This window comes from Homo sapiens, chromosome 1, assembly GCF_000001405.40.
Source record: "Homo sapiens chromosome 1, GRCh38.p14 Primary Assembly".
Taxonomy (NCBI): Eukaryota; Metazoa; Chordata; class Mammalia; order Primates; family Hominidae; genus Homo; species Homo sapiens.
The window spans coordinates 234740012-234750912 of record NC_000001.11 but is presented as its reverse complement, the minus strand read 5'-3'; the positions used below and the strand labels follow the sequence as shown (position 1 = coordinate 234750912).

At 45.9% G+C, this 10901-nt stretch overlaps 1 long non-coding RNA gene across 1 annotated transcript; it reads left to right on the top strand.

Moving 5' to 3' along the window:
• Positions 1-2158: 2158 nt before the first annotated feature.
• Positions 2159-5377, top strand: LOC105373210 (uncharacterized). The gene is made up of 3 exons (XR_949292.3): positions 2159-2820; positions 3363-4049; positions 4522-5377. It is a non-coding gene; the product is annotated as an uncharacterized LOC105373210 (long non-coding RNA).
• Positions 5378-10901: the final 5524 nt, after the last annotated feature.

Sequence of the window (10901 nt, the reverse complement as noted above, 5' to 3'; positions counted from 1 at the left end):
TCCTGCCACAAGGAAGCCTGGCGCTAATGGGCAGAAGGGTGTGTTGTGTGGAGGGGCTTTCTGCTACTTGCAGAAGTGCCTGAAGACTGTTATTTGCAGCCCTGTAGGTTCATGGTAAGAGACACTCAGAGGAACCTTCTAGAGAGTTCTCCTGCAGGCCACTAGGCCAGCAGAGCACAAGATCCAGCCGCCTGCAACCGTGGAGAGTCCCACCAAGTAGAAAGGGGTCGAGATGAAAATGAACTAGACTGGCCCTTCGCTGGCCCTGAATATGTGGTGTGGCCTGATGAACACATTTTTTTGTTGTTGTTTAATTAGAAAAGTAACTGGTTGCTTGGCAAACACCTAGTCAGGGGTTGCTCACAGTTGGGTTGGAGGCTGCTAACCTCGGTGCAATAGGGGAGTATCAGGGGAGCAGAATGGATTTGTCACTTTGAGAACCTGACCTAGGGAGAGACAGCCTTGCTTGAAGAGATTGGAAGGGTGGGTCCCTAAAGACTCCAAGGAGAAGGAGCTGTGTCTTGAGGAAACAGCGAGATGTCTCCAGGCCTGGAAGGATGAAGCAGGGAAATCCAGGCAGAAAGAGCAGCTTGGAGAAAGGAGCAGAGACATGAAGGGCCCACAAGCCTGTGTGTGTGGACATGGGCTTGGATTGGCTTATATCTACACTTCCTGAACAGAGAGCGGAAGAATGCGTTCTTATGAGATCACTTACTTATTAAATTATTGTCATGAGCTTTCTGGGGTTCTGTGGTAAATTCAAAAGGAGCATGAGGGCTGGGTGCAGTGGGTCACACCTGTCATTCCAGTGCTTTGGGAGGCTAAGGCAGGAGAATCCCTTGAAGCCAGGAGCTGGAGATCAGCCAGGGCAACATAGCGAGACCCTGTCTCTACAAAAAAAATTTTTAAAATTATCCAGGTGTGGTGGCATGTACCTGTACTCCCAGCTGCTGTGGAACCTGAGATGGGAGGATGGCTTGACCCCAGGAGGTTGAGGCTGCAGTGAGCTATGATCCAGCCATTGCACTCCAGCCTGGGTGACAAAGCAAGACCCTGTCTCTAAAAGAAAAAGGGGGAAAAAAAAGGAAAAGAAAAGGGGGAACATAAGATGACCCACCTGGCAGACACTCTTCCTTCCCTCTGTGATCCTTAAGGTCTTCACTTTCCTCCTTTAAAGACCTCCAGGGTCCAAAGGAATGAGTCTCTCCTTGTGACTCTCAACACCATTTTCTGTATAACTCAATTTGCTTTAACCGTGAATTGCAATATCTCTTCCATCATGGTTGTTTTGAACTGTTATTTACATTTTAATGTACGACTTAATTCTCTACTCCTTTTATTTTTAGATGAAGTCACTCTGTCACCCAGGGTAGAGTGCAGTGTCATGATCTTGGCTCACTGCCACCTCTGCCTCCGGGGTTCAAGCGATTCTCCTGCCTCAGCCTCCCAAGTAGCTGGGATTATAGACATGTGCTACCATGCCCAGCTAATTTTTGTATTTTTAGTGGAGACAGGGTTTCACCATGTTGGCCAGGCTGGTCTCGAACTCCTGACCTCCGGTGATCTGTCCACCTCCACCTCCCAAAGTGCTGAGATTACAGGCATGAGCCACTGAGCCTGGCCTCTCTACTCATTTTTAATCAACTCAATTGGAATAAAATTTACATACAATAAGATGCACAGAATTGAAGTGTGCAGTTTGATGACAAACGCATGTGTGTAAGCACCATCCGAATCAGGATGAAGCATCTCCATCACTTCAGAAAGTTCCTGCATGCCTGTTTGCTTTCATCACCCCCCTCCCTGTTCCCACCACCAACCCAGACAACCCAGGCCACCAGTGATCTGAGTTCTGTCATCAAAGTTTTGTTTTCCCTCTTCTGGACTTGCCATATGAACAGAATCAATTGGTATACAGTCTTATGTCTGGCTTTTTTTGCTCAACATAATGATTGGGTTCATCAATGCTGAGTAAGTCTATCAATAGTTTGTTTCTTTTTATTGCTGAGTAGTAGTAAATTGCATGAATACAATAATCTTTTCTTTTTTAATCTCTCCCCCATTAACAGATATTTATGGTTGTTTTCTCCATGCATTTTTTTAGAGGAGAGGGGCTTGCCTTTCCAACCAGCTTGTGAACGCTTGAAGGGCAAGGATGTGTCTCACAGGCTCTGTCATCCACCCCTGAAGCACCTTATCCAGTGCCACTTCAGACTAGGCCCTCCAACGTGTTGGTTAATTGAATTATAGTTTCGGATAAGATGTGGTCCCTGCCTTTAAAAAGCTTTTAATTTAATTATGGAAGCAGCTACAAACATCAATCCATTATTCCAAGACAACACATTTATCCATTCATTCAGCAAGTTTTTATTTTAGAGAAGAGAGAAAGCATGTCCATGCATACCTGAATCATGGGGCAGAAAGTGAAATGTGGTGCAGAGGAAATTCAGGCGAGGAGCCACAAAAACTGAGAGCAAAGTGACTTTGCTAAGAGGCTCTGGGAAAAATCTCAAAGGGGAGGAGCAAATGCCCAGACCTAGGAGACTGGGCAGAATTTGGACACAAGGAAGTCATTGTGGGCTGACAGTACAGGGTCCAACAGAGGCAAAGAGCTGGAAATGCAGGGAAAGAAAGGGGAACATCCTCCTCTTCCAGCGGAGGAAGCTGGGTGAAGAAAGGAGAAGCATTGCGCTGGTGTGGGAAGCACGGGGCCGCTAAGGTTGAAGTGAGTGGAGATGGGAGGCGGCGGGAGTCACTAGAGGCTAGGAAGAGAGGCTCACACTACAGAGGGCCTTGAGTGCCAGGCTAGGAAATCCATAGGTAAGTTCAAACACACATTACATGCCCATCAAACTTATGTGAGGATGGGGATACCATTATAATGATTTAGCATCTGTCCACTGCAAGGAAAAACCTCCACTGTTTATGAATTATTATATGCATGTTACAGGTGAATAACTGAGGCTGAGTCAGGATTCAGCCCTAATTTCTGTTAACTCTGCTCTGGGCAGAGTGAGGCTTTATGCACAGCAGATGGTAAATGCATGTAAAAGCATGAGACTCGGTGTATAAAGATCAGAGAGAGCTAAAGTGTGTATGTGTGTGTGTGAGTGTGTGTGAAAATCATTATAAGTATATAGAAATATAGAAATAGAATTGAATTGTTTGTTTTAAGGGATTGAAATGCAATGAACTTATTGTCAACACTGCATGATACTTTGAGGGCTTCATACTTTTTCAGTAATTTTATATTCATTTTGTCATTAGATCTTCACAGTAATCCTGAAAGTTCAATAAGTCAGATATTATTATTATTATTATTACTACTACTACCACTACAATGATTATTCTTGATTTTTCAGGGGAAGAAGCCAAGACTCAAGGAGTTAAGAACTTTTCCAAGGGTAGCTATTAGCCAGGACTCAAACCTACATACTTGAATGAATTTCTACAACCTGTTATTGAAGACTAAGGAGTAAGAATTCTGCCGGAAGACTGTGTTGCCGAACCAATCAGTTTGTCTAAAACTCTTTCACTCCCCATCCCCAACTCCCTGTTGGCCTAGGGGCAGTCTGAGAGGGGGCTTAGAATAAATCAGAAGAGGGGTCTCATTCAGATTGTTTTGCTGTGATCACATGTGAGTCAGATTTTTCTTCTGTAACAAGAGGTAGTTGAAGAGGTAAATCCCTAAGCTTTCTGCCATTGTAGACAGGTGTTCTTCTCTGATCCTCAGGGCCACAGTCGGAAAGGAAGTTGTCTGCACTGAGAACCGGGAGGGATCCCTCCGTTGCTTCCATGAGGGTGCGGGACTCATGGCTCTGGGCCTCCAAGGCACCACGGCCTCTGGCTCCATTCCACCCTCCCCGCGCTCTCCTCAAACCTCAGGCTTCCTTTTTCTGCCTGCTGCAGGGCTTCTCAGCCTGGGCTGGATCCTGGACAGACAGGCCCAGGCAGGCTGTGCACTGTGACCTGGGGCCTTGCTGTGAACAAAGAGGACTTCAAGAGGAGATGGCCTGGAGGAGTTCGCCTTTGTGGTCATTTTGCTTCAGGTAAATCCTGTATAACCAGGAACCAGGGATAATGAGTCAGGGACCGACCATGAGAAACACACTGTTCTAACACAGCTTCTGAAGAGCCTTCTGGAGGGGGCTCGAGCTTCCCACATGGGGGGCCTCTTTCCAAGACCCAACTGCCTAATTTGGAATCTCCCAAAAAGTTTGTTTGCTTTTGTGCGCACATGATTCCCAAGACAGTGTGTTAAATGACTTGAATGAATCATCCACTGCTCCCTCCATTTATCTACCACCTGCTTCCTTTTCAGTCCGTGACAACCTGGCTTCCATCAAACCAATCAGCCCATCACCCAATACTAGCTGTTCCAAATATAAATTGTTGTCTTTGTCACTTTGCGTAGTCACTCTCCTCTTGAAATATACACATGTTGTGAAAGGACTCTAGAAATAAATCTTTCCTCATTAAAATTTTCTACACATGCGTTAATTTTTCCTCCCTTTTCAACAGCGGACCAGTCAGCAAATAATGACTGCCCTTGGTCATCCCTGGGAAGATAAAGGATTATTAAAAGAGGGCCCGGCAGCTTGCAGATTACACCTGCTACATTTGGAGTGGAAAGAGGCTTCTCTGTCAGTGCCCCTTGCCCCCATGGAAAGACACTAATAGCAATCTTCAACCATAATTGTTTGGTCCATTTTGTTCTGGACCAAGTTTGCATAAGTTTTAAGCCTGAAAGTCAAAGAAAAACGAAATCTTACACGTCAACATGGCCTTTCCATCACTTGAAAAAGGCACCCTCTCTCTCTCTTTCTCTCTGCCTCGTAAACACAGCGGTCTTGCTCAGAGCAATCTTGAGCTCTGAGCTGTGAAGAATTGCTGTAGGTAGGAAGAAACGTTGGCTCTGGAATTCAATTAACTGTCAGCATTGCTGTTCGAGTCAGGATGACTCACTCCTCTTCAGCAAATGGGCATGGGGGCTGTGAGCCTCCAAGATTAATGGTGATTGATAAGCCGCTGGAGCTCCAGGACGAAGCCTCCCAGAATCCTTCCCTCACCCACACACGTTTTTACATGAAAATATAATAGATAGTGGGAGAGGATGTGTGAGTACAGAGGAGATGCTGTCAAGAATTTGCCTGTATCCTTTTCTTTTATATTGGTAAGTTTCACTGGATTCTAAGCTACTGAAAAGCAGGGACTATGTTTTATATTTCTTTTCTCTCAGTTCATGTCCAAATTAATGCATCAGGTGAAAAGAAAGGATGCTGTCTGATACCCCATGAGGTAGGTATGAGGCCCATTCTATAAATGAGGGGAAGCAACGTGCTAATAAGAGAAAAAGCTAGGACTCGGTCCCAGAAAGTCTGCCAAGGGTGCCAGCTCCAACCGCTGCAGGTGCCGCCTCTTCACGAGCACGTTACGCCATTTCTCTCTTTAACACGGAAAGCAAAATGTGGGCCTGACTGTGGTGAGGGCATGCTTTTCCATTCTAAATGGCAGCTAGCATGCATTACATGTACAATATACAACAGGAATACAATACGCGGGAGAGAAAACCTTCCCTCCCCTTTTCCTCAGGCACCTGGCTGGTTCAGGCTCCAGTGGCTTGGTTTTGTCGCTGGTGTTGTTAGTTTCCCCCAGCATCCCCATTCATTTTCCAGAATCCTCTGTCCCTCATTGTAGTTTTGTATTTGCAGATACAATCTAGGAAACAATTCAGATGGGAAAAGAAATCTTTTCATGAGAAAGGATAGTAAAATTAACAGAAAGCTGGTTAAACTTACAATTTCCTCAAGTATTGAGAATAAACATGAATCCATGAGAATAAAAACTCAGTATGGATTTGTCCACAACGCTTAGGAGGAACATGTTAGAAGTGCCACATGCAGGCCAGGCGTGGTGGCTCACGCCTGTAATCCCAGCATTTTGGGAGGCCGAGGCAGGAGGATCAAGAGGTCAGGAGATCAAGATCATCCTGGCTAACACGGTGAAACCCTGTCTCTACTAAAAAAAATACAAAAAATTAGCCGGGTGTGGTGGCATAAGCCTGTAGTCCCAGCTACTCGGGAGGCTGAGGCAGGAGAATCGCTTGAACCCGGGAGGTGGAGCTTTCAGTGAGCCGAGACGCACCACTGCACTCCAGCCTGGGTGACAGAGCGAGACTCTGTCTCAAAAAAAAAAAAAAAGAAAAAGAAAAAGAAAGAAAAAGAAATGCCACATGCATGTAAGAGTCCAGGCAGGGTGGTCAAACTGTCAGATGCGCAACATTCGAGGGGCAAAAAGGATGAAATAAGATGCTCTCTAAACGCATGAGCAAGACCAGCTGTCAAAGCACTGGCGCCTTTATTCACACATTTTGTAAACCTCAGGTAGACAGGAGACAGCAGTAAGTACGTGACCTCAGCGCGTGATCCTCATTCAAACTGGAATTCGAGTATCACTGGTCTCAGCTGCAGACATTTCAGAGTGGGTCCATTTGCTCTTAGGAACTTCCAGGGCACCCCAGCACCACTTGTTTTTGCCTTTGTCTTTGCTTTCCTTCCCCACATCCCTACAAAACCAAACAGACTTGCTCTCCCAGCTTCACAAAGAGAAACGGATTCCAAGAGGAAATCACTTCACAGCAAGTGAGCCCTGGGAAGAATTAAAGACTGAGGAGCCCTTGTAATGAGATTAAGGGAAAAATGCTTTTGTGCATCCAACTCAGACCCGTCCTCAGTATGCAGGACGCGAGTGGTGCCAAAACAAACATGGGTATTGTTTTGGGAAGGAAAAGGTTAACAAGCTATGAAAACAAAATTAGAGATATTTTCAAAGCATGACCCTCAGCAGAATGAGTAGAATGCAGTCTACCCAGGCAGCAGCATTCCCTCCTCACTTGACATTTATCCTGCAGCTTGTGGGGGAGCAGCTTCGGCTGTTATGTTCCCAACGGATGAGGAGGGAGCTGCACTCCTTGCGGCGGAGAAGCCGCATCCACTGGGCAGAGGCATAAAAGCTTGGGTCCAGGGGAAAAAGACATCGAGCTCCTTGGCGCCTTCTTAGAGAGGAGCTTAGAAAAAATTCTCTGTGGATCTTGCAGAGCTTGAAACATACGCTTTCATCTTCCCTCTGGCAAAAGCACTTAGCCTGGAATTGGAAATTCCGAGTTTGTTTCCAGATTTGGTCTCAGACTGGCCCTGAACACAAGAGCTGTGTCTCAGTTTCCTCATTCTGTCCATTCAGGTTTATTGGATGCCCACTGTGTACCAGGCTGAGGGCTTCCTGCTGTGGCTCTATAGTGGAAGGGCTTATCCTTGTCTTGACGGGACTCAAGCTCTTGTGAGGAAACAGATATGCAAAGAGATAATTATTACTGCAGTATAGAATGCATATACATGTAATGTTTATCAAATGGAACAGCTTTTAATTGGTTCACAAATCTAGCAGTAATGTGGCCAATGTCAGTGGACATCTGATACACAAGTAGAGTGTGTGTGTGTGTGTGTGTGTGTGTGTGATCGGACACCCAGTACCCTTCCTGGTTCTTTAAGAGCCTGTGAGAGCCCCTGTCCATGTCCTAAGCCTGATTACGGTGACAGAGACTGTCGCTTGGCCGTAGAGTTGGAGCCACAACGATGACATGGTATGTGACAGAGCCGAGATGAAGGAATAGGGAATGGTTCCTTGCTACTCTTCATCCAAAAAAGATTGCTAGTGCCCACGAGTGCCCGGGCTGTCTTAGTTTAATTCCATGCACACAGACTCCAGCATTTAACCATCAGAGTCAGAGATGTTTTATAAACAGAGTCACGAGCCCTAGCAAGAGAGAGAAGCAGGTCAGAGCGTTGAGGTGTCTGCGCAGGTTTTATGAGAAGGCACCCCGTTTTCTCCAACAAGACTCAAAATCTTGTTTGTTGCATTCAAGTCTCAGCTCTTCCAGGGTCTTCCGGCATCATTCTTGGCATTTTAGATGAACTTTCTGAACTTGGCTCAGAATGAGGTGGTGAAGCTTATTTCCAACGTCTTTGTGATTATTTCATACTTGACACCTCACATCCCTGGCTGGAGATCTCCCAAGATCTGAATTGACGGGTTTCATTTCCATGCATCTCAAAGTAGACATACTAAACGGAAGTGCACGGGGTGGCTTGGGCTCAGAGAGGACGGGCTGCGGGCGGTGACCTACCTAAAATTCTTGCTCCAATTATTGAAATATAGCCACGTCGTTTTTCTGAGACTTGTGATAATTAGCCAAGAAATTTGCTGACACTTAAAAGTAAATTTGGTATGAGCAGGTATTACAGAAAAACAATTCTACTGCCCATTCCTTCTTTTTTTTTTTTTTTTTTTGAGACTGAGTCTCGCTCCGTTCTGTTGCCCAGGCTGGAGTGCAGTGGCCTGATCTTGGCTCACTGCAAGCTCCGCCTCCCGGTTCACGCCATTCGCCTGCCTCAGCCTCCCGAGTGGCTGGGACTATAGGCGCCCGTCACTACGCCTGGCTAATTTTTTGTTATTTTTAGTAGAGACGGGGTTTCACCGTGTTAGCCACGATGGTGTCGATCTTCTGACCTCATGATCCGCCTGCATCGGCCTCCCAAAGTGCTGGGATTACAGGCGAGATCCACCGCGCCCAGCCTCTACTGCCCATTCCTTCTTAATTCACAGAAGAATTACCGATAATCTACTTTTTGGCTCTCTGGTTAATTTCTGGTTAACTGTTAAGTACCAAGAGTTTTGGTAACCTAATGTGAAATTAATCAAGCTTTTTATTTCCAGGCCTGTATGTGAGATTTGACTTGTCCTTCCAGATAAGGTATTTACGTTCATTTTAACATAGGTTTCTTTGCATGTATTTACCCAGTCCTTGATTATCTGGAACAAAAATTACTAATCCTATACTGGCTTCCTCTCTTGCTTCTGGGTGACTTCCCTCCTTTCTCCTGCCCATCCCAGTCAGGAATTTCTGTGGTACTGAATATACCATGGCACTTATTCCATGACGTGTCTTACGGGAAACAAGAAGATTGATACCCATTTTTGTTGCCCTGATGAATGAAGCTTACATCTGAAATCTCTTTTTAAAAATTTTTTAAACATTTTTTATTTTAATGCTTCAAATTTTTTATGGTAACATGGGCTGAAACACCTGAAATCTTGTCTTACTTGTTTACAGATGTTCTAAAATATTTCCGATACTCATAATAGATCCAAGGACTTTCTTGACATCTCCAGGAAGCTAATGAACATCTGCAACTCAACATGCCCGAAACTGGGCTCCCTATTCCCCTAGGCTGCCTCCCACCAAACCTGTTCCAGCCACAGCCTTCCTATCTCAGCTGGGAGCATTTCATTCTCCTAGTGGCTCAGGCCCCAAACCTCAGAGTCATCCTTGACTTCTTTCTTTTTTACTCCACATCCAAACTGTCAGGAAATCCCACTTATTCCCACAAAATATATCCAGCTCCACTGTTGTCACTCTGAGCCACTGCCATTTTTTGCCCCTGGATGACAACTGTGACCTCCGATAGGTCTGCATCTACCTTCAACCCACCAGCCAGAGTGATTCTTTGCAAATGTAAGGTAGTGCTACACCTGCTCGGGACCCTACAGAAGCTTCTGGCTCACCCAGAGAAGAGCAGAAATCATTACACCCACCTCCACCATCTCTCCAATCTTATGACCTACCACCTGCCCAGTTTGACTCCAGTTCAGCAGTACTGGCCTCCTTGCGATTCCTCCAAAAAGCCAGACATGCTACCACTGTAGGGCCTTTGCCCTACTTCTTTCTCTCTTTCTTTCTCTCTTTCTTTCTTTCTTTCTTTCTTTCTTTCTTTCTTTCTTTCTTTCTCTCTCTTTCTTTCTCTCTTTCTTCCTTTCTCTCTTTCTTCCTTTCTTTTTCTTTCTTTTTCTCTTTCTCTCTTTCTTTCTCTTTCTTCTTCCTTCCTTTCCTTTTTTTTTTTTTTTTTTTAGTGCAGTTTTGCTCTTGTCGCTCAGGCTGGAGTGCAATGGTCTGATCTCGGCTCACTGTAACCCCCGCCTCCCAGGTTCAAGTGGTTCTCCTGCCTCAGCCTCCCAAGTACCTGGGATTATAGGCATGCACCACCACTCTTAGCTAATTTTGTATTTTTAGTAGAGATGGGGTTTCGCCATGTTGGCCAGGCTGGTCTTGAGCTCCTGACCTCAGGTGATCCACCTGCCTCAGCCTCCCAAAGTGCTGGGATTACAGGTGTGAGCCACCGCGCCTTGACCCTACTTGTTCTTTCTGTCTGCAACATTCTTCGCCCTGATAGGGCTCTGGCCACTCCTCCCCTCCCAGTGCCTGCTCAGACCTCACTGCTCAATGCCCACCCTGACCTTTGTTGAACTTACCTGCAATACTGACCCCATCTGCTTGGCCTTAGCATCCCTGGTCTCCCTTCTCTCACTCTGTTTTTTGTTTGTTTATGTTCTTTTTTTTTGTTTTGAGATGGAGTCTCGCTCTGTTGCCCAGGCTGGAGTGCAGTGGCGTGATCTCGGCTCACTGCAAGCTCCACCTCCCGGCTTCACGCCATTCTCCTGCCTCAGCCTACCAAGTAGCTGGAACTACAGGCGTGTGCCACCACACCTGCCTAAGTTTTTGTATTTTTTAGTATAGACAGGGTTTCACCGGGTTAGTCAGGTTGGTGTCAATCTCCTGACCTCTTGATCCACCTGCCTCAGCCTCCCAGAGTGCTGGGATTACAGGCGTGAGCTACCGCGCCCGGCCTGTTTGTTTATTTTCTATAGCATTCCTCCTCACCTCCCAAAAAGTCCAGGATCTTTGTCTGTTTTATTTACTGATGGGTCCCTAGTACCTAGAGCAGCCCCTGACACTTAGTAGGTGCTCAAATAAGTCTGTCAAATGAACTGATGACTCAGGGGATTGG